This window comes from Homo sapiens, chromosome 2, assembly GCF_000001405.40.
Source record: "Homo sapiens chromosome 2, GRCh38.p14 Primary Assembly".
Taxonomy (NCBI): Eukaryota; Metazoa; Chordata; class Mammalia; order Primates; family Hominidae; genus Homo; species Homo sapiens.
Window position 1 is genome coordinate 223777355 of NC_000002.12, and position 24286 is coordinate 223801640.

The 24286-nt window shown below is 42.0% G+C and overlaps 1 protein-coding gene across 4 annotated transcripts in view, besides 1 other annotated feature; it reads right to left on the reverse strand.

Moving 5' to 3' along the window:
* The window catches only part of AP1S3 (adaptor related protein complex 1 subunit sigma 3), an 82257-nt gene that overhangs the window by 22029 nt on the left and 35942 nt on the right, over positions 1-24286 (reverse strand). For all 4 annotated transcript variants that reach the window (NR_110906.2, NR_110905.2, XM_011510600.4 and 1 more), the window contains exon 2: positions 337-515. Coding sequence is in view for 2 of the 4 variants with exons in the window: in XM_011510600.4 (XP_011508902.1) it covers positions 337-515 (179 nt within the window). In the remaining 2 variants the exon portion in view is untranslated. The remainder of the gene's footprint in view (positions 1-336; positions 516-24286) is intronic.
* Positions 20718-20767: an enhancer, noted in NCBI's record as "active region_17173". NCBI's record gives its function as "activates an Ori minimal core promoter by ATAC-STARR-seq in GM12878 lymphoblastoid cells {active_cell/tissue: GM12878}" and the evidence as "EXISTENCE:reporter gene assay evidence [ECO:0000049][PMID:35858748]".

Below are 24286 nucleotides of genomic sequence, written 5' to 3' on the forward strand. Positions count from 1 at the left end.
ACTGCACTCCAGCCTGGGTGACAGAGCAAGATTCCGCCTCCAACAAATTAAAAAAGAACAATGCCAGGAATGTAACAGGTGTTCATACCACTTTTCTTGAATGCATGCGTGCACTATCAAGGTGTAGTTTATTTACCTAGAATCCATCCTGGCACCTAGAATTTCTTTCAATAAAATGAGAGTTCTTTTCTAGTTAGTCTATTGGTACAAATATCTGGGCCCCAGCCTTCAAAGATTTCAGTAAATGATGGAATTGGTATAGCAATCTAAAATGTTCAGGATTAGAACAAACCAAAGTAAGACTGAGAAATTGAGCTCTCAAAAAGTTACTCACACCTTTTATAAACAAGTTTTAGCTCCTTCCAGTCAACAAAACTGCTTGTCCTGTGACCACGGGAGAGAATAATCTGAACAATTTCCCGGGTGATCTTCTTCCTCTCTTTATCAGGGAGAGTGATGTACCATTTCTGTAGCCGTAATTTCCCTTGTCGACTGAAGAGCAATATGAAATGTATCTAGAACAAAGGACACAAAAAACAGAACCTGATCAACCAAGTCACTCTGCCGTTCTGCAAAGACACTGAAATTCAATGATGGATTTACACAGAAAGATAATTCTGAACGGATGAAAAAATTCTTACCAGCATGAAAACTATCTCATCTGACAAATTATATTTAACCCATCAGAGAAAAAAGAAATGTGTATACCACAAATATAGCTTACTTTTATTATAGGAGAAAAATAAGTTTTTTTTTGTTTTTTTTGTTTGTTTGTTTGTTTGTTTTTTTGAGAAGGAGTGTCGCTCTGCTGCCCAGGCTGGAGTGCAGTGGCGCGGTCTCAGCTCACTGGGACCTCCACCTCCTGGGTTCAAGCGATTCTCCTGCAACAGCCTCCCAAGTAGCTGGAATTACAGGTGCCCACCTCCATGCCCGGCTAATTCTTTTATTTTTAGTAGAGACGGGGATTCACCATGTTGGCCAGGCTGGTCTCGAACTCCTGACCTCAGGTGATCGCCCCACCTCAGCCTCCCAAAGTGCTGGGATTACAGGCATGAGTCACCACACCTGGCTTTATTGTAATTCTTTTTAAGTGTTATAAACACACATAGGGAAAAATAATCAAGAAAGTAGTAGTACTTCTGTTTTTAAAACATTAATTTCTTCCTTTACAAGACAAAAAAAAAGTGTTAAGAACAACAGAAGGATTTACTTTAAAAATTATATTCCGGCACCAATATTTAACTATAGAAACATAATGATAATATAGAAATAAAGGGGACAAGGAAAGGAAGTGAGGCTGAAGCAAGGGGAACGAGAAAATGAGAAGCTGTCTTAAATGTAAGCTTTTTTTTTTTCTTTTGAGACAGAGTCTTGCTTTCTGACCCAGGCTGGAGTTCAGTGGCATGATCTCAGCTCACTGCAACCTCCCCCTCCCAGGTTCAAACGATTCTCATGCTTCAGCCTCCCAAGTAGCTGAGATTACACATGCACGCCACCATGCTCAGCTAATTTTGCTGTGTTTTTAGTAAAGACAGGGTTTCACCATGTTGGACAGGCTGGTCTCAAACTCCTAGTCTCAGACGATCCGCCCACCTCAGCCTCCCAAAATGCTGGGATTGCTGGCATAAGCCACAACATCCAGCCTTAAATGTAAGCTCTTTTCTCCATTTTGCACGCTACTTGGCTGAGAGCTTTAGAATCAACCATCTCAAGTTACAATTGTCTTTGGCATCACCATAGACTCTTAACAATTTAGACAGTATATTGGCTACACTAGGAAGCAACCTGATTTTATTTTCAAATAAGTTCTGAAATGTGTATTTGAAATAATGGTAATGAATTTTAAAAGATTTAAATAAGCAGAAGACATTAGAACATCTGGAAATTTACTTGAAAACCTTGGAAGGTACAGTATTTGGTGGCTCACACCTGTAATCCCAGCACTTTGGGAGGCCAAGGCGGGATAATCACTTGAGCCCAAGGGTTTGAGACAAGCCTCGGCAACATAGTGAGACCCCATCTCTAAATTTTTAAAGGCTCTGTTAGAATGTTTTTTAAAAAAGAAATTTTTAAAAACCTTGAAGTTATGGTATATTTAATTTTTGGGAATTGTCAGATGGCCTAATCTTTATTTTATGAGAATTAAGTTTTCTCAATCCACGGTATCAGAAGATCAGGTTTAGAATCATAATTTATTTTGTTCAGTTTTGTTTTGTTTTTAAAAAATAAAGTGCATTGTTTCAGTTGTGTCATGAAGGAAATTATATATACCAGGAACAAAAAATTATTAGATTTTAAGAAAACGTTTTACAGATAAAAGATTCAACTTTCGGCCAGGTGTGGTGGCTCACGCCTGTAATCCCAGCACTTTGGGAGGCCGAGGTGGGTGGATCACCTGAGGTCAGGAGTTCAAGACCAGCCTGACCAACATGGAGAAACCCCGTCTCTAATAAAAATACAAAATTAGCCACGTGTGGTGGTGCATGCTTGTAGTCCCAGCTACTCAGGAGGCTGAGGCAGGAGAATCACTTGAATCCAGGAGGCAGAGGTTGCAGTGAGCCAAGATTGTGCCACTGCACTCCAGCCTGGGCAACAAGAGCGAAACTCCGTCTCAAAAAAAAACAAAAAGATTCAACTCTATTGAAAAGGCTGAGGCCTAAAATGCCACGACATAAATCATTACAACCCACTAGGTGGCGATATCTGAGGGTCCAATGAAACCATGCTTTTTACTCAGATCTTCCACTAACCACCTCCCCCGGCTGCCTCACCACCACCCCCTGGCCCCAGCCTACAGAATTTGAGGTCTTCTTTTGGAGTGCAGTGGCTCACTGCGGCTTCAACCTCCCAGACTTAGGCGATCCTCCCACCTCAGCCTCCCTGGTAGCTGGAACCACAGGTGTGCACCACCATGCCTGGCTAATATATATATATATATATATATATATATATATAGAGAGAGAGAGAGAGAGAGAGAGAGAGAGAGAGAGAGAGAGAGAGAGAGTGTGTGTGTGTGTGTGTGTGTGTGTGTGTGTGTGTGTGTTTTGTAGAGACGAGGTCTCCCTATGCTGCCCAGACTGGTCTCAAACTCAAGCCTACAGAACATGAGGTCTTCTTTTGGAGGGCAGTGGCATGATCATAGCTCACTGCAGCTTCAGCCTCCCAGGCTCAAGTGATTCCCCCCACCTTGGCCTCCCAAAGTTCTGGGATTACAGGTGTGTGCCACCATGCCCAGCTAATACTTTTTAAATTTTGTTGTAGAAACGAGGTCTCCCTATGTTGCCCAGACTGGTCTCGAACTCCTAGGCTCAAGCGATCCTCCCACCTCCGTCTCCCAGAGTGTTGTGATTACAGGCATGAACCACCATGCCCAGCTTGAGGTTCTTAATAGTTCATCTTTTTTTTTTTTCTGGTAACTACAAATTACTTTTTTCATAATTTCAATTTCTGTGTTAGATTCAGGAGTATATGTGTGCTTTTCTTACATGGGTATATTGCATGATGCTGAGGTTTCAGGTACAACTGAACCTGTCAATCAGGCACTGAGTATAGTACTTAAGTTAGTTTCTCAGCCCTTGCCCCACTCCCTTTCTTCCCCATCTAGTAGTCCCCAGTGTGTATTGCTGCCATCTTTATGTTTGTAAGTATCCAGTGTTTAGCTCCCGCTTGTGAGAACATGCAATATTTGGTTTTCTGTTCCTGTGTTAATTCCCTTAGGATAACGGCCTCCAGCTGCATCCGTGTTGCTGCAGAGGACATGATTTTGTTCTTTTTTATGCTGTGTAGTATTCCATGGTATATATGTATATTACCATGTTTTCTTTATCCATTCCACCATTGATGGGCACGGAGGTTGATTCCATGTCTTTCTATTCACTTTCTATTGTGAATAGTGAATAGGTAATCTTCTTAGAAAAGAAACATCCGTTATAATAATGATATGAGGCCCAAGACATCACAGGTGATGAGAAACCAATTTAAAAACCCTCCTCATCAGCAGCTTTAAAAAAAATCACCTTCAGTCTGGAATTTTAACACAGCATTTTTTTTTTTAGTATCTGTTTCACTATAACACAGGTATAAACAATTCAATAATCTTGGCCAGGTGTGGTGGCTCACGCTTGTAATCCTGGCACTTTGGAAGGCTGAGGAAGGAGGATTGCTTGAGCCCAGGAGTTTGAGAGTAGCCTGGGAAACATAGCAAGACCCCATATCTATTTAAAATAACAATAAATAATAATAATAATAATCAAATTCAATAATCAAACACTACCTTCTGAGAATTCTATTCAGAAGGGTATTTTTGCTTCCAAGAAGAGATCATAAAAGTGACTGACACTCTACGAGCATAAAATAGAATGGTTATAGGAACACAAAGAATAGGGCTCAGCATTGCATCATCACGGTGCGTAAGATTATTCAATCCAATGCCTAGTGAACAGTTCCATTTTTACTGGGAAAATGAAGTCCACACATTTGCCTGGTATTCTCTTGCATTTCCTGCTAGAAATTTTTCTTCCTCCACCTAACCTAAATCTCTTGTTATAATTTAAACCAGTTTTCCCTGATTTTATCCATAGATTATATAAAAAGAGAATGTATCAAGTATCTTTGGAAGAATAACTAACTTCACTGATTTGGAGATAGGCTTTAAGTCTTTTTTTTTTTTTTTTTTTAGACAGAGTCTCACTCTGCCACCCAGGCTGGAGGGCAGTGGCGCCATCTTGGCTTACTGCAACCTCTACTTCCTAGGCTCAAGTGATTCTCCTGCCTCAGCCCCCTGGAGTAGCTGGGATTACAGGCGTCCATCACCAAGCCCAGCTAATTTTTGTATTTTTAGTAGAGATGGGGTTTCACCATGTTGGCCAGGCTGGTCTTGAACTCCTGACCTCACGTGATTGGCCCACCTCAGCCTCCCAAAGTGCTGGGATTACAGGTGTAAGCCACTGTGCCTGGCCGCCTTTAAGTCTTCTTTTAGCCTTTTCCTTCCAGACAAAATAAACCCAGTTTTATGTCTTCTGTTTATTGGTTCTATTTTCAGATCTCATAATCATCATTGTTGAGTATCCTCTGGGAATTCTCCATAGGCTAAACGTTACTTTTAATCGAGGGCACCTAGATCAACGTTGGAAGTTTTATTGAGAGGTGTAACTATTGCTGGGATTAATAGTGGATGCTTTTCTAGTTGGTCTGCAGGTCAAACTTATCTCAGGATCAGGTGTCTGCCTTCTTAAACAAGAATCAACAATGCAGAACAACGAACAAAGAGCAATGTTTCATTCTAACAACAAATTCAAGGAGAAAGGATGATCAGGAAAAGAATACATCCATTAAGCCCATATGAAATGCAAATATGCATTCCAAACTCAAAAACAGCAACAAATAGATTCAAGCTTATCCAATAATTGCATTGCATGAGGCAGTGTTGGAAGATTTAGCCCCCTCACGTTCTGCTCTGCTTGAGAACTGAGCTTGTGTTGTCGTGTCTGTCACCTCTCCAGATTTAATGAGGTAGCTGGAACAAACTGGCAGAATGAATTGTAATGATTCACAAGAGTTCATCACCTCCAGCAATTAATTTTATACAATTTATCAGTTTAGTCATTCAGGGCACATTTGAATAATACTCTTCAAAAGGTTAATAAAAAATACCATTTTTGATTAATATTCGCTTGAGAGTAGGAAAAAAAAGGCATGGGAAGACTTTTTCAATATTTGCCAAGAGCCAACTTAAATGCAAGTTGATGTCATAAACAAGTTCATCTGACTTCAGAAAACAACACTCTAGCATTCCCTTTCAATAATATTGTTGGGACAAAAGGAACAATGGAGGGACTCTCCCAGGAGACACCAACTTCAGCAACAGCTGTAACATCCAGGGAGGCGTGGTGACTTCTTACACTTGGCCCAAATGCTTGGAACCAGGTGGGCACCTGGTTCCACCAAGACCTCCATCCCCACCTCCAAAGGGGCAACTTCTGCCAGCCGCCATTTTGAGAGGTCTCACTTGTTAACAGATTATCCTTCAAACCCAAAGACATCAGGTGATTCCAGCTTTCTTTGTCCTCAGAGTGCCTACTAGAGCAATCCTTGGTCTAATTGGGCACAGTCCCAAATTCTTATTTAGACTCAGAACGCAAACTTCTATGGGCGTTTTCTAATCTCTTTCTGAAGCATGTTCTGGGGACACTGTTAGTCCTCCGAGGGAAGCACGAAGCGCAGCAGCACCAGTCTGCTGAGTCTGCGCCCTGGCCGGTGTCCGCATCTTCCTTCTAGGTGAAGAGGAACCCTGAAGGCTTCCAGTAGCAGCTTTGGTTCACATCTCCCTGCTCTTGACCTGGATCCATGAAATGGACCCACAGCCAGCTTCCAAGAAGAGAGACATCCAGGACCCTTACCTGTCCCCAGTATTGTCACATTCCAAACACCAGCCTTTCCGGACTAGCTCGTATCTCAGGACCTGAGCTGCTCAGACAAATACTCAGGCTGTGATTGGCCCATGGTTCTGAAGCCTGTTACAGTATGTTTAGGGGCTATTACCACCTTATTTACAGCAATCTGTGCTCTAACACAGGTTCAACCAACCCGACAGGCCCTCCTCCGGTGGCCCAGATGATGACCCATCCCTTAACGCCACTGCTCTGATCCTTACTTCCTCAGCCCTTTTTCCCACCTCTACAGCCACTCTGCAAATTCCCAAACCCGATCAGCACCCATCCACTCTCATCTTTGCTTTTATATGAAGGTCTCCAGGCACCCCTGAGAAAAATCAAAGAGGGCTTTGCAAATTGGTGCCACCGTTAAGGTCTGATGACCAAGCTCAGCTGAATCTCCAGTAGTACTCGGAGACCCTCCACGTACCTCTCAATACAAAGGATTTCCAAGCACCTTTCCCTTTGATCCCCCACGTGGGTCATTTCATATCACCACCATGCCCCCATATTCCCAGTCTCCATCCTCACTCCCTGACTCTGAGGAGAGGATAAAAGCCATGCTGGGGACTCCCTTGGCTCCTCCCAACCTGCATACCTGTGTGCACAGACTTGTCACACCCACCCCCCAACACGATGTATTTTCTTCCTGCATCAGAGAGCACAACACTTCTCATGTGCTGGCTTTCAACCCTCACCTACCTCTTTGAGAGCACGGCATCGTCACTCCCACACTACCAGGCTGTGCCCCCTCTTCTGGGGCTCCTCACCTGCAAATGCTGAATAACCCAAGTCTCTCTCATCTTTAAAAAACAACCACCCACCCCCAGACCTCCAACTCTCCTGAAAAGTGACTCAGCAGTAAGTGTCAAGAGTCCTATAAGTGCCCATATCTTTGGTTTCAGTAATTCTGCTTTTAAAATCTGTCTTTGACCAGGTATAGTGGCTCATGCTTGTAATCACAACACTTTGTGAGTCCGAGGTGGGAAGATCACTTGAGCCCAGGAGTTCAAGACCAGCTTGGGCAACATAGGGAGACTGCATCTCTACCAAAAAATAATAATAATTAAAAAATAAATAAAATATTTCTTAAGAATGTGCCCTAAAATGCAGACAAATATTGAGGCATTAGATGTTTACTACAGTTCTTTATATTAGCATACAAAAACAATAAAACTAACAATGCCTAAAGATCCAATAATAGAGTTTAAATGATATTTACTAAATAGTTTCAACAAAGTAAGAATGCTTATGATACAATGTTGTTTAAAAAAGATGGCCAGGTGCGCTTAGACCTGTAATGCCAGCACTTTGGGAGGCCGAGGCGGGCAGATCACCTGAGGTCAGGAGTTCAAGATCAGCCTGGCCAACATGGCAAATCTCCATCTCTACTAAAAATACAAAAAATTAGCCGGGCGTGGTGGTGGACGCCTGTAATCCCAGCCACTCGGGAGGCTGAGACAGGAGAATTGCTTGAACCCAGGAGGTGGAGGCTGCAGTGAGCCAAGATCACACCATTGCACTCCAGCCTGGGCAATAAGACCGAAACTCCATCTCAAAAAATAAAAACAAAAATAAAAAGATTATATTGTGTGTGTAGTATAAGAAAAATGTAAAACTATTCTTGCAAAAAAAGATTACATGAAAGAAATACACTAAATTGTTATAGTGGTTATCTTACAACAGTGGAATTATAAATGTTATTTTCTTCTTTGTACTTGTCTGGATTTTCCAAAATTCATATGTATGATTCTATAATTAGAAAAAAATGCTTAATAAAAAGAATATCAGTGAGTTCAATAAAAATCCATCAACATTCTATCTGAAGGTCTAATACTAAGTAAATGCCAAAGTTCTTTCAACAAATAAAACTTTAGCTCAAAGAGATGGCACATTACTCAGGTGACCCTGCAGTAATGGCAAAAAGAATGGCAGACTGTGTGGCTGCCAGTGGCTGTGGCAGTGTGTTGGGGAGGGATGAATAGGTGGAGGACAGAGGATTTTAGGGGAGTGCAAATAGTCAGTATGATACTATAATGGTGGATCCGTGTCATTATAAATTTGTCCAAACTGATAGAATGTCCAACACCAACAATGAATTCTACATGTAACAAACTCACACCTGTACTCCCTGAATCTAAAATATAGTTGAAATTACAAAACAAAAAATAAATTAATTACAGAGAGGAGTCAGTATAGGCTCATCAGTTGCAGCAGGTGTACTACTCTGGTAGGGGACGTTGATAATGGGAGAGACTCTACATGTGTTGGGGCAGGAGGTATATGAGAGATCTCATACCTTCCACTCAATTTTGTTGTGAACTTAACACTGCTCTAAAAAAATTAAGTCTTAAGAAATGTAAGAACTGTGTAACCGAAGTATCTCCTAGCTACACAACTAAGATGACAATTACATATGCATAGCGAAAACAATCATAGGTAAGGATCATTACAAAATGATCATCGTTGCCTTGTTAAGATGGAGGAGCCCTAATAACTATTTTTCTTTAATTTCAAAGCAATGTCATTTCATTCTGGCAATAAACTGAAGAAAGTGAAAGGGCAAGAAAGTGCGAACCTACAGTTTAGGTTTCATTCACATTAACTAGAGCATTGTTTTTACAGCAGGTGCGATCCAGTGGGTTATAAAACAAACTTAGTAGATCGTAATCAACATAATAAAACAATCCAGGGATGGTGACTCCTGCATGTAACCCCAGCACTTTGGGAAGCTGAGACAGGAAGATTGCTTGAGGCCAGGAATTCAAGACTAGCCTGGGCAACATAGTGAGACCGTGTGTCTCTACAAAAAAAAAGTTATTAAATTAAAAAAAAAAGAAGAAGGAGAAGGTCAGGTGTGGTGGCTCACACTTTGGGAGGCCAAGGTGAGCAGATCGCTTGAGCTCAAGAGTTCAAAACCAGTCTGGGCAACATGGTGAAACCCCATAATCTCTAAAAAAGATACAAAAATTAGCCAGGCATGGTGGCACACAATTGCAGTCCCAACTACTTGGGGGACTAAGGCAGGAGGATCACTTGAACCCAGGAGGTGGAGGCTGCAGTGAGCTGAGATCATGCCACTGCCCTCCAGCCTGGGTGACAAAGTGAGACCCTGTCTCAAAAAAACAAAAAAAAAAGAAGTGATATGGTTTGGATCTGTGTCCCCACTAAACTCGTGTCAAATTGTAATCCCCAGTGTTGGAGATGGGGCCTAGTAGGAGGTGACTGGATCATCAGGGTCTGGAGTTCTCATGAATGAGTTAGCGCCATCTCCTTGATGCTGTTCTCATGAGAGTCAGTGAGTGAGTTATTGTGAGATCTGGTTGTTTAAAACTGTGTGGCAGCTGCCCCCTCTCTCTTCTTCCTGCTTCAGCCATGTGAGGTACTGCTTCCCCTTCGCCTTCAACCATGATTGTAAGTTTCCTGAGGCCTCCCCAGAAGCAGAAGCCACTATGCTTTCTATACAGCCTTCAGAACCATGGGCCAATTAAACCTGTTTTCTTTATAAATTACCCAGTCTCGGGTATTTCTTTACAGCAATGCAAGAATGGATGAATACAAGAAGAAATATTTATAGACATCTGCAACACTCCTGGGTCTCAACCCTTCAGAGTGTGCAAAGCCATATGTCTTCATTTAAGAGAGAAAGGTGTTCTTGAGTTAAGAAGGTTGACAGAAATCTTCAAACAAACTTTGGAAGACAGAGACAGAAATGAGATGAAAGATTTAGCAAAATAGGGGAATTTGTCACTGAAAGGGTGAATTCCCAAGAGAAACCAGATAGGTCTCCCCATAGAATGCCTGAGAGCAATACTTGGGGGCACCATGTCCCTAGAAGACAAGGGATAAGGCAGAGTTCTGAAAGCAGGGAGAGTGGTTGAAAGTCTCCCTATCGAGTAACTGACATGTGCCACATGCAGATTTCTAGAGACTACAGCTAAGTGAAAACGCACATGCATATGCAACACACACACACACACAAACTACACCATACGATAAGTTTCCAATTGCTTCATCCAAGGGTACAGAAATTTAGGAACTCCATGCAGTTGGAGAACCTCTTAGCACAGCTTGCTCCGGCCCCCAGAGTCAGTAACCTCCCAAGCAGGGGCTGCTGACACTGTCCACACAAAGCAGGGTATTACCTAATCTGAGAAGCTCCAATGTAAATGCCACAGTTCTTTTTTTTGGGATGGGGTCTCACTCTGTCATCCAGGCTGGAGCGCAGTGGTGTGATCTCGGCTCGCCCAGGTTCAAGTGATCCTCATGCTGTGCCTCAGCCTCCTGAGTAGCTGGGATTATAGACATGTGCCACCATGCCTGGCTCATTTTTGTATTTTTAGTAGAGATAGAGTTTCACCATGTTGGCCAGGCTGGTCCCAAACTCCTGACCTCAAGTGATCCACCCACCTGGGCTTCCCAAAGTGCTGGGATTACAGGCATGAGCCACTGCGCCAGGCTGGACTGCCACAGTTCTTATATACTTAAGGCTTACATCACCACTCAGAGGACTTACATCATTTTCGCCCTTAAGAAGAGATATTTGGCCGGGCGTGGTGGCTCACGCCTGTAATCCCAGCACTCTGGGAGACCGAGGCGGGCACATCACCTGAGGTCAGGAATTCAAGACCAGTCTGGCCAACATGGTGACACCCTGACTCTACTAAAACTACAAAAATTAGCTGGGGCTGGGCGCGGTGGCTCACGCCTGTAATCCCAGCACTTTGGGAGGCTGAGGTGGGTGGATCACAAGTTCAGGAGATCGAGACCATCCTGGCTAACATGGTGAAACCCTGTCTCTACTAAAAATACAAAAAAAAAAAAAAAAATTAGCTGGGCGTGGTGGCACATGCCTGTAATCCCAGCTACTTGGGAGGCTGAGGCAGGAGAACTGCTTGAACCTGGGAGGCAGAGGTTGCAGTGAGCCAAGATTGTGCCACTGCACTCCAGCCTGGGTGACAGAGCAAGACTCTGTCTAAAAAAAAAAAAAAAAAAAGAAGAAGAAGAAGAAGAGATATTTGCAGATGCCTGCCACCCTCCTGGATCCTAAACCTAATTCAGAGCCTGAAAAGCTATGTATGTAAGGTTTCTGAACTTCCATCTCTAGCTTTGTCATACAGAAAAACCCATCTCTTAATTCAAGAGACTGAATGATTCTTCCCTGAAGACACTAAATGACAGAGAAAAGACCTTTAGGTACTAACAATGAAGCCTCCAGTCAACCTGTCTATGCCCTCAGAACTGCCTGTCAGCATTTTAAGCACCCTGCTTCTAACTATGAGTAGAGGACAAGAGTCCCAGGCATTTGAAAATAGCCTGTGCCAAGAAAGAGACAGAAAAGAACAAATAGGAAAAAAAAAACACTGGATACAGTAACAAATCACAGAGCTGAACAAATTGCTACACACACATACACACATACACACACACAGAGTATACTCAGAGATGGTTAAAAGATGAAGTTCCTATGTCAATAAAACAAATAACAGAGTTTCCTTTTTAAAAAAGAGATAAGAAAAAGTTCTTAAAAGTTAAAAACTATGATAACCAAAATAAAATCAAAGGAATCTCCAATAAACTGGACCCCCCCCAAAAAAATAGATGTAAGCTGGGCGCAGTGGAATGCTTGTAGTCCCAGCTACTCCAGAGGCTGAAGCAGGAGGATCACTTGAGCCCAGGAGTTCAAGGCCAGCCTTATAGCAAGATCCCATCCTTCAAAAATAATTTTTAATAGATGGAAAATTAATGGAAAATATAAAACTATAGAGGGAGTGCTGGGTGTGGTGACTCATGCCTACAATCCTGGCACTTTGGGAGGCCAAGGTGGGTGGATCACTCAAGACCAGGAGTTCAAGGCCAGCCTGGGTCAACATGACAAAACCCTGTCTCAAAAAAAAAAAAAAAAAGCCAGGCGTGGTGGCACATGCCTATGGTCCCAGCTACTCAGGAGGCTGAGGTAGGAGGATCGCTTAAGCCCGGGAGGCAGAGGTTGCCGTGAGCCGAGATCATGCCACTCCACTCCAGCCTCGGTGATAGTACAAGACTCTATCAAAAAAAAAAAAAAAGGCAATCAAATGCAATCAAACAAGAAGGTGTAATGATATCAAGAAAGATGAAGCAGAGATAATGGAGAGGAAGAAAATATCAAAGAAAGAATTCGAAATTTTTTCAAGAACTAAGTAGATGAGACTTCAGATTTTGAAAAGCCCATCAAGTGTGCAGCACAATGAATTTTAGAAGCCCATCAACACGAAACTTCAGAACAACCAGGACAAAGAGAGCAGCCTGAGATTCCAGGAAGACAGTTTACATGCAATGGATCAGAAACCAGAACCTGCAGATGATGAAAGACAAGATGTCTACATCCAGCCAAATTATCCATCAAGAGACATGACATTTTGACACATGCAAAGACTAAAAATACAAAGAAAAGAAATTGCCTCCAGTCTTTTTTTTTTTTTTTTGAGAAAGAGTCTTGCTCTGTTGCCCAGGCTGGAGTGCAGTGGCATGATCTCAGCTCACTGCAACCTTTGTTTCCTGGGTTCAAGCAATTCTCCTACCTCAGCCTCCTGAGTAGCTGGGATTACAGGCACCTGTCACCATGCCTGGCTAATTTTTTTTGTATTTTTAGCAGAGATGGGGTTTCGCCATGTTAGCCAGGCTGGTCTCAAACTCCTGACCTCAGTGATTCACGTGCCTCGGCCTCCCAAAGTGCTGAGATTACAGGCGTGAGCCACTGCGCCCAGTAATCGTTTGATTTTACCTAATGTAGTTTTTTTTCAACCTGTACAGGTTCATAGAATAAGGATGTCATTAGTCTACTGGCCTGTAGGTAGAGTAATACACTTTAATATATGTCCTGAAAGATAGTATATATTTATGGTATAAAATGTGATTTTTACACACATATGTTATAAAGTGATTACCACAATCAAGCTAATTAGCATATCCATCACCTCACATAGTTAAAAATCTGTGTGTGTGTGTTGTGACAACATTTAAGATCTACTTTCAAGATTCAAATAATCACAACCAGAAATGATAAGAGGGATATCATCACTGACCCCACAGAAATACAACTAACCATCAGAGAATACAAAAACACCTCTATGCACATAAACTAGAAAATCTAGAAGAGATGGATAAATTCCTGGACACATACACCCTCCCAAGACTGAACAAGAAAGAAATTGGATCCCTGAATAGACCAATAGACCAATAACTTGTTGTGAAGTTGAGACAGTAACAAACAACCTACCAACCAAGAAAAGCCCAGGATCAGATGGATTCACAGCTGAATTCTACCAGAGGTACAAAGAAGAGCTGGGACCATTCCTACTGAAAATATTCCAAAACATTGAAAAGGAGGGACTTCTCCCTAACTCATTCATGAGGCCAGCATCATCCTGATACCAAAACCTGGCAGAGACACAACAACAACAACAACAAAAACACATCAGGACAATATCCTCGATGAACATCGATGCAAAAATCCTTAACAAAATACTGGTGAACCAAATCCAGCAGCACATCAAAAAGCTTATCCACCATGATCAAGTTGGCTTCATCCCCAGGATGCAAGGTTGGTTCAACATACACAGATCAATAAATGTGATTCATCACATAAACAGAAATGAAGACAAAAACCACATGATTATCTCAATAGATGCAGAAAAGCCCTTTGATAAAATTCAACATCCCTTCATGTTAAAAACTCTCAATAAACTAGATATTGAAGGAACATAGCTCAAAATAATAAGGCCATTTGTGACAAAACCACAGCCAATATCATGCTGAATGGGCAAAAGCTGGAAGCATTCCTCTTGAAAACCAGCACAAGATAAGGATGCCCTCTTTCACTACTCTTATTCCACATAGTATTGGAAGTTCTGGCCAGGGCAATCAAGCAAGAGAAAGAAATAAAAGTATTCAGATAGGAAGAGAGGAAGTCAAACTATCTTTGTTTGCAAATGACATGATCCTATATCTAGAAAATCTTATCATCTCAGCCCAAAAGCATATTAAGCTAATAAGCAACTTCAGCAAAGTCTCAGGATACAAAATGAATGTGCAAAAATCACTAGCCTGTTGTTGGTGAACAACAGGCAAGCCAAGGGCCAAATCATGAACAAATTCCCATTCACAATTGCCACAAAAGGAATAAAATACCTAGGAATACAGCTAACAAAAACCACTGCTCAAAGAAATCAGAGATGACACAAACAAATGGAAAAACATTCCATTCTCATGGACAGAAAGAATCAATATCTGAAAATGACCATATTGCACAAAGCAATGTACAGATTCAATGCCATTCCCATTAAACTACCATTGACATTATTCACAGAATTAGAAAAAACTATTTTAAAATTCATATGGAACCAGAAAAGAGCCTGAATAGCCAAGACAATCCTAAGCAAAAAGAACAATGCTGGAGGCATTATGCTACCCAAACTATACTACAAGGCTACTACTTTGAGGCTACTATACTGCTTCAAACTATGCTACAAGGCTATAATAACCAAAACAGCATGGTACTGGTACAAGAACAGACACGTTGACCATGGAACAGAATAGAAAACTCAGAAATAAGACCTCACACCTACAACCATCTGATCTTCAACAAACCTGACAAAAATAAGCAATTTTTTGCTTATTTTATTAAATAAATAAAAATAATCATTTATTAAAAGGATTCCCTATTTAATAAATGGTGCTGGGAGAACTGACTAGCCACACGCAGAAGATTGAAACTGGGCTCCTTCCTTATACCATATAAAAAATCAACTCAAGATGGATTAAATACTTAAATGTAAAACCAAAACTATAGAAACCATAGAAGAAAAGCTAGGCAATACCATTCAGGACATAGTCACGAGCAGATTTCATGACAAAAATGCCAAAAGCAATTGCAATAAAAGCAAAAATTGACAAATGGGATCTACTTAAACTAAAGTTTCTGCAGAGCAAACGAAACTGTCATCAGAGTAGACAGACATCCTACAGAATGAGAGAAAATTTCTGCAATCTAGTCATCTGACAAAGGTCTAATATCCAGCATCTACAAGGAACTTAAACAAATTTACAAGAAAACAAACAAACAAACAAACCCATTAAAGTAGGCAAAGGACAAGAACAGATACTTGTCAAAAGAAGACATACATGTAGCCAACAAACATGAAAAAAAAGCTCAGCATCACTAATCATTAGAGAAAAGCAAATCAAAACCACAAGAAGATACCATCTCACACCAGTCAGAATGGCCATTATTAAAAGTAAAAAACCAACAGATGCTGATGAGGTTGTGAAGAAAAAGGAACGCTTTTACACTGTTGGTGGAAGTGTAAATTAGTTCAAACATTGTGGAAGACAGTGTCGCAATCCCTCAAAGACCTACAGGCAGAAACGCCAATTGACTGAGCAACTCCATTACTGGGTATATACCCAAAGGAATATAAATCATTCTATTATAAAGACACATGCCTGTGTACATTCATTGCAGCACCATTCACAATAGCAAAGACATGGAATCAACCTAAATGCCTATCAATGATAGACTGCACTAAGAAGATGTGGTACATACACAACATGGAATACTATGCAGCCATAAAAAGGAATGAGATTATGTCCTTTGCAGGGACATAGATGGAGCTGGAAGCCATTATCCTCAGCAAACGAACGCAGAAACAAAAAACCAAGTACTGCATGTTCTCACTTAGAAGTGGGAGCTGAATGATGAGAACACATGGACACATTGGGGGGAACAGTGGGGAGTGGAGGGTAGGAGGAGGGAGAGCATCAGGAAGAATAGCTAAGGAGGAAGAGCATCAGGAAGAATAGCTAAGGGATGCTGGGCTTAATACCTAGGTGATGGGATGATCTGTGCAGCATGCTCAAGTATATAATACATTATTATTAATATAGTCACCAAGATGTCTATTAAATCCCCAGAACCTATTCAATCTAAAACTTCGTACCCTTTGACCAACATCTCCCCTTTTCCCACCACCACCTAATACGTTTTTTTTTTGTTTGTTTTTGTTTTGAGACGGTTCACCATGCTGGCCAGGCTCGTCTCGAACTCCTGACCTCAGGTGATCCTCCTGCCTTGGCCTCCCAAAGTGCTGGGATTACAGGTGTGAGCCACTGTGCCCAGCCTACAATTTTTAAAGAGAAAGGATTGATAGTTTTTGCTGATTCTGTGTTTATCCTTTGTGTTTTAGTAAGTTACTACATATGCTCCTCAGCTATCACCTTTGGATTAAAGAGGTTTCACCTCTTGGGTTTTTTTTCCTACAATAGGTTTCTTAATTCCCTTATCATTTTGCATTTTTCTTCCTGAATCATGTCTAACTCCATTTCTTGCTCAGAATGGGGACTCACATATTGGTGGAACTGTTAAATTTTGAGAAATAGCAACTAGCCCTCTATTAATATTCTGGGTGGAGAATTGCTTTGGCTTTTCTATAGGGGTTAGAGAACACTAACGCCTATAACTAACCCCTATAACACTAACACTATTGCGCCACTGCACTCCAGTCTGGGCGACACAGAGAGACTCTGTGTCAAAAAAAACAATAAAATATAAAACAAAATAAATTATCCAGGAGTCAGACCCTCCTATGGTTTTCTTGAGAAAGCCTTCCTTTAAAAAGCCCAGGGTTTTATTGGGTATCAGAAACTTACAACTTGTGTTACTTTTCTCCAGATACAATAAACTCAACTAGCACTTGTATTTGCCACATCTTCTGGCAGCTTATCCTGACAGGTTTAACAGTTCTCTGGTAAGAAGTATCTAATAGCATCTGCAAACCGAGAGACCCAGCTGCCCTCTTCTTTCTGCTAGATCAATTATAAAAATGTTACACACGACTTGTCGGAGCACTCATTCCTCCAGGGCTCCATGGTTTACCTTTGAATGTCAGGATGAGCCCTTAAAACAATTATCCTGACGTCCTTCCTCTAAGCGCATCTGAAAGCCACAAGACTATCTTTCCAAGGCTACTCCCTCTCAACCCCTCTCCCTTGCGTCTGAACCCCCATCCGAGGGGCTTTCTGAAAAGTGGAAAGGAGGGACGTTCACTGTTTCTTCAGCAGCATGGCATATTCACCTTCTCAAAGGACTCCAGCCAAATCCAGTTCCCTCTTCCAGAAGCCAAGCTGCCTTCTCCCTAAAAAGGCCATCTGCAGGCCAGGCGCAGTGGCTCACGCCCATAATCCCAACACTTCCAAGGTGGGCGGATAACCTGAGGTCAGGAGTTGGAGACCAGGCTGACCAATATGGAGAAACCCCATCTCTACTACAAATACAAAATTAGCCGGGCGTGGTGGCACATGCCTGTAATCCCAGCTACTCAGGAGGCTGAGGCAGGAGAATTGCTTGAACCCAGGAGGTAGAGGTTGCGATGAGCCGAGATTGAGGCACTGCACTCCAGCCTGGGCAACAAGAGAGAAACTCCATCTCAAAAATTAAAAAAAAATTTTAAAAATTTATAAAGGCCATCTGCTGAAGCCTTTTGTAATGTATCCTTAGTATAGATTTTACCAGCATGCTCTGGGTAGAAATAAGATTTGCCAGACGGAAGTTTCCCAGACACTTTTTACACATGTTCTTAGGATGAAGATTCACTGACATCTGCCAGTCTTCTAATTTAGCGACCCTTTGAAACAAATGTTACATTCCACAAATTTAAATGTTAGCTTTTTCAAGCTTGCTGCATGCCATCCAGCCAAAATGGTGTAACTCAATCACTGTTCCGGATTTCATCCAGGGCCTGCTGGGCATTTATCACTAGGCCAGGCAGAAGGGGCCAGGAGGCGCCAGGAGGCAGTGGAATAGCTTGATTGTTAAGTGGGAAAACTTTGGTAATCAGTAGCTTGAGAGCTTGTATTTAAATCCCGGCTCTGTCATTTATGAGCTAAGTCGATGTGAAAAAGTTACCTGATCTTTGTAGTCTCCTTATCAACAAAATAGGAAAAACAATGATAAGGACCTCAGTGATGCTGGGAGAACAAAATGATATTACATATGTCAACCTCTATAGTGTAGAGTCCAGCAAAGAATGAGCATTCAGTAAATGTCTGTAATCATTAATAAATTACCCAGGCCAGTCACGGTGGCTCACGCCTGTAATCCCAGCACTTTGGGTGGCCGAGGTGGGCAGATCACCTGAGGTCAAGAGATCGAGATCAGCCTGGCCAACATGGCGAAAGCCCTTCTCTACTAAAAATACAAAAATTAGCCAGACGCGGTGGCAGGCATCTGTAATCCCAGCTACTCGGGAGGCTGAGGCAGGAGAATCGCTTGAACCCAGGAGGTGGAGGATGCAGTGAGCCAAGATCGCATCATTGCACTCCAGCCTGGGCAACACAGAGAGACTCCATCTCAAAAAAATTAATTAATATAAAATAAATTATCCAGGGGCCAGCCCCTCACATTTATACTCCCATTTATCTTCATCAAGGCAGGCAAAAACAATCTCTGCTTCCCCATTCAGAATCATCCCATTACTACCCCATTATTTATTTCACTAACAGTTTCCATGTTCTGATGGGAAGAGCCTCTGACAGCCATTTCACAGGTACCCCAGAAGGACATTCTTGGGAAACAACAAACTATTTGCTGTCTAGCTGACTTACTTACCTTGTCTCCTTAATCGCCTGGTCTCATCAGTCACCTTTCCATTATTATTATTTAAATAATAAGTTTATCCCAGAAACAGCAGGGATATACTTAGAGATGAGTAATCTGGAGTTCCTTTCTTTTTCTCTTGACCACTGACCAATGGTCTTCTGATCATGTATTTATTCAAGTTCCCTGTAAGGTGTTTACTTCAGGGTTCCCCATTTTTTCACTTATGGGTGTGTATTCTTCTAGCATCCTTTTTCTTTTCTCGAGATGGAGTTTCATTCTTGTCACCTAGGCTAGAGTGCAGTGGCGCAATCTCAGCTCACTGCATCCTCCACGTCCTAGGTTCAAGCGATTCTCCCGCCTCAGCCTCCCAAGCAGCTGGGATTACAGGTGCCCGCCACTGCGCCCAGCTAATTTTTGTAGTTTTAGTAGAAACTGGGCTTCACCACGTTGGCCAGGCTGATCTTGAACTCCTGACCTCAGGTGATCCACCGACCTCGGCCTCCCAAAGTGCTGGGATTACAGGCATGAGCCACGGCGCCTGGCCCTCTAACGACTTTTTCTATCATTGAGTGGCAGCAGCAGAATTTTGAATTTTGAGTTTTCACCTTCCCTGCTGATTCCTTAATTGTACTGCATTACTCCTCTAAGGTGAATCACTTTCACTCTTTTCCCACCAGTTTCTACGCACAGTCATAGCACCAGTTAGTGGGGATCGGAAGGCAGGTGTGGCCTGAACCAACTTCCCTCGTCTCTCTCTCCAGACCTCATGTCTTCATATCCAAATGCCTTTCACAGGCTTGGCAGAGGCAGGTAACATATTAAATAAGGGTAAAGATCAGCATCATACAATAGGGGGTGGAGGAGAGAGCAGCAACTATGAATCACAAGCTCCAACGAAAGCCGCAGCCACAGCTCTGCCATAGTCAAGTGTGGCCAAGAAAAACATGTCAATCACTGTTGCTAAGTCTTCAGATTTTTTTCCCAAAAGCCTGAAATCTGGATGATTAGGTGAAATATTGGAGTTGTCTTAACGTTGTCAATTAATAATAATAAAACCTTGTTCAGGCTGACACAGCTCACGCCTGTAATCCCAGCACTTTGGGAGGCTGAGGCAGGTGGGTCACCTGAGATCAGGAGTTCGAGACCAGCCTGGCCAACATGGCACAACCCCGTTTCTACTAAAAATACAAAAATTAGCCGGCCATGGTTATAGGCAGGTGCCTACAATCTCAACTACCTGGGAGGCTGAGGCAGAAGAATCACTTGAACCCGGGGGGCAGGGGTTGCAGTGAGCTGAGATCGTACCTCTTCACTCCAGCCTGGGCCAAAGAGCAAAACTCCGTCTCAAAAAAATAAATAAAATAAAATAAAATAAAACCTTGTTCAAGCTAAACAAAGCACACTGTGTGTGGATGTGGTCTGCAAGCTCTGTTTGGCTGCAGGCCTCATTTGAGGCTGCTGAATCAGATGATAGCTGGAGTCCCTCATCGCACTAACACTCTACAGCTTTGCTTGGCTCAAGAGATTTCTCCTTTCTGTGGCTTCTGAGACTACCTATTTGAGGAAGTGGTCCTCTGACCCAAGAACCTCGCTTCTATATCTCAGCCGAATATTACTGTCAAATCTATTCTGAGGTCAAAGTCTCTCATTTACATATATACATCAAATGTCATAGGTTTTTTTTCCCCTCAAGATTGCCAGCTCAGGTTTCCATGATAAATGAGAGGAAAATTTACATAAAAAATTTAAATCTCCACAATCTCAGAATGTCATTTTTGGCCTGCTGTCAATCTCAGAATCTCAGGTAGGCCTGTCATGTCAGCCTTTTTCCTGAAATAAAATGTTGAAAAGACACTGGCCAACATATTTCAATTATTTTCCTAATCCTTGCACACCATCTGGTGGCAGAACTAGCTACTGTGAAATGTTCAGGGAAAGGCAAATTAAGTGGATCTGAGGGGGCAGAACAGAGCTAGGAAGAACAGGATAAGAGGAACAACAATAAGGGGAAAAAAATGGAATAACACAGAAACAAACTGTTGACATGTATTAAGTCCATGCCAGCTACAAGTAACCTGCAGAATAAAAGGTTAACTGCTATGAATTATTAAGTAGCCACTTACGTGAAATGTGAACATTCTCTCTATAAAGACAATTCCTCATAAAATTGTCTGTCTGTTATCCATCCACCTGTATGGCACAGTAAAATTTAATGGAAGAAAAGAAGGAAGGAAGGATAGACAGGTAGTTACACTGAAAGGACAGAATAATCCACTTGCTATGAATTGAATTGTGTCCCCTAAATTCATATGTTACAGTCCTAACCCCCCAGTACTTCAGAATTCAACTTTATTTGGACATAGATGTTGCAGCTGGGTGCAGTGGCTCATGCCTATAATCCTAGCACTTTGGGAGGCCAAGGTGGGCAGATCACCTGAGGTCCGGAGTTTGAGACCAGCCTGGCCAACGTGGTGCAGCCCCATCTCTACTAAAAATACAAAAATTAGCTGGGTGTGGTAGCTGGTACCTGTAATCTCACCTACTCAGGAGGCTGAGACAGGAGAATCACTTGAACCCAGGAGGCGGAGGTTGCATGGAGCGAGATTGCGCCACTGCACTCCAGCCTGGGCAACAAGAGTGAAACTCCATTTCAAAATAAAAAGAGAGAGAGGGAGATAAGAAATAGACATTGCAGATGTAACTTGTTAAGATGAGGTCATACTAGAGTAGGGTGGGCCCCTAGTTCATTGTCACTGGTGGACTCATATAAAAGGGAAATTCGGGCCTAGACACACACACACACACACACACACACACACACACACACACACAAACACCACATGAAGGTGAAGGCAGAGATTGGGGTAATGCAACTGAAGCAAAGGTGCACCAAAGACTGCCCTTAAACCACCGCAAGCCAGGAGAAAGGCAAGCAACCCATTCTCTCTTGAGAGTTCCTAGAAGAAACCATTCTTGCCAGGCTTCTAGCCTCCAGAACTATGAGATGATAAATGTCAGTGTTTAGGCCACCCAGCTCATGGTACTTCCTTATGGCAGCTTAGCAAAGCAATCCACCATATATCTCTGGCTTTGAATTTTATGCCTTTTATTTTTAATCTCAAAAATCATCACTGTTGTTTTCTATCTCATTACAATTCCATATTATAAAACCAGATCATCTACATTCCAAAGATAAAGTCAGCAGATTCCATTCAACTTAGCAAATATTTATTTAGTAGCTACCACAGTGAGGTATTTAAAATGAAATAATAACTCATTCCTAGACTCACAAAATTCTAGCATTAGAAAGGACAATAAAGCTGATTAGGTACAACACTTCTCATCCTAAAACTGAAGAAATCTTCTCATGAACCTAGGTGAAAAAAATCTTCAACAAAATATTAGCAATTCAAATCCAATAATATATAAATAGAATTACACACTACAAGCAAGTGGGATTTATCCCAGAATGCAAAGCCAGATCAGCATTCAAAAATCAATTAATGTATGGCCAGGTGTGGTGGCTCACACCTGTAATCCCAGCACTTCCCGAAGTGGGGCAAGGAGGGCGGATCACTTGAGGTCAGGAGTTCGAGACCAGCCTGATCAATGTGGCAAAACCCCATCTCTACTATAAATACGAAAATTAGCCAGGCATGGTGGCACACACCTCTAATCCCAGCTACTCGGGATGCTGAGACAAATGAATTGCTTCAACCCAGGAGGCGGAGGCTGCAGTGAGCTGAGATCGTACCACTGCACTCCAGCCTGGGCAACAAAGCGAGATTGCGTCTAAAAAAAAAAAAAAAAGAAAAAAAATCAATCAATGTAGTCCAAGTATGATGGCTCATATCTGTAATCCCAGAGCTTCAGGAGGCTGAGGCAAAAGGATCACTTGAGGTCAGGAGTTTGAGACCAGCCTGAGCAACATATCGAGAACCCATCCTTACAGAAAATAAATAAATAGCCAGGCATGGTGACGCACACTTGTAGTACTACATACTCAGGAGGCTGAGGTGGGAGGGTCACTTAAGCCTGAGTTCAAGGCTGCAATGAGCTATGATCAGGCCACTGCACTTCAGTCTGGTGACAGAGCAAGACCCTGTCTCTTTAAAAAAAAAATCAATTAATATAATTTATCACACCAACAGGCTAAAAAAGAAAAATCACATGATTATATCAACAGATACAGAAAAAGCATTTGAGAAAACTGAACATCAATTCATGATAAAACTTCTTAGCAAACTAGGAAGAGAGAGGAATGCCCCCAACTTGATAAAGAACATTTACAAAAAACTACAATTAACATTATACTTAATGATGATATACTAGAAGCTTTCCCTTTCAGGTCAGGAACAAGGCAGGGATGAACTCTCTCATTACTGCTTTTCAATATCATACTAGTCCTAGCTAATGCAATAGGACAAGAAAGGGAAATAAAAGTATACAAATAGGGAAGAAAGAAAACTGAAGAAATCAAGGCCCAGAGACCTGGTGATTATACCTTCAGTGGTACAGTTTGAGGCAGAATTAAGATGATCTCCACATTCCCAGCCCAAGGCTATTTGCACTTAGCATCTGACACTTTTTCTCATCCACCAAAGCTAAAACCCCTACTGTTCATTTTTTCCAGTTATGCAAATAATTATAACCAGAGAAGTCTTTTGCTAATACCAGAGACCTATGTATAACAGTCGATGGTTGACATATGTAGGGCATGCGTCAGACACCATGGAAGAAGCACATTACACACAGTACTTCATTTAATCTTCCTCATAACCATGAGAAGTAGATACTATTATTATTCCCACTTGATAAGGACTCTAGGGCTTAAAAAAGTTAAGTACCTTGTTCCAGATCGACGAGCTAGAAGGTTTCAGAGCTGGGCTTTGATTCCAGAGCCCATTCTCTTAACAGCAATGCAACATTGCCTCCTTGAGCAGAAAGCAAAGAGATATACGCTGGCACCAGTTAGACTGGCCTTGCCCACTTTTAAAGTCACTATGATATTGAACCACCCATATAATGAGAAGGTAGCTCTCTTTTTTCTTTTTTTGAGACAGTGCCTCACTCTATTGTCCAGGCTGGAGTGCAGTGGCGCTGCAATCTCCACCTGCTGGGATCAAGCAATTCTCGTGCCTCAGCCTCCCGTGTAGCTGGGATTACAGGCACCCACCAACAAGCCTGGCTAATTTTTGTATTTTCAGTAGAGTGGGGTTTC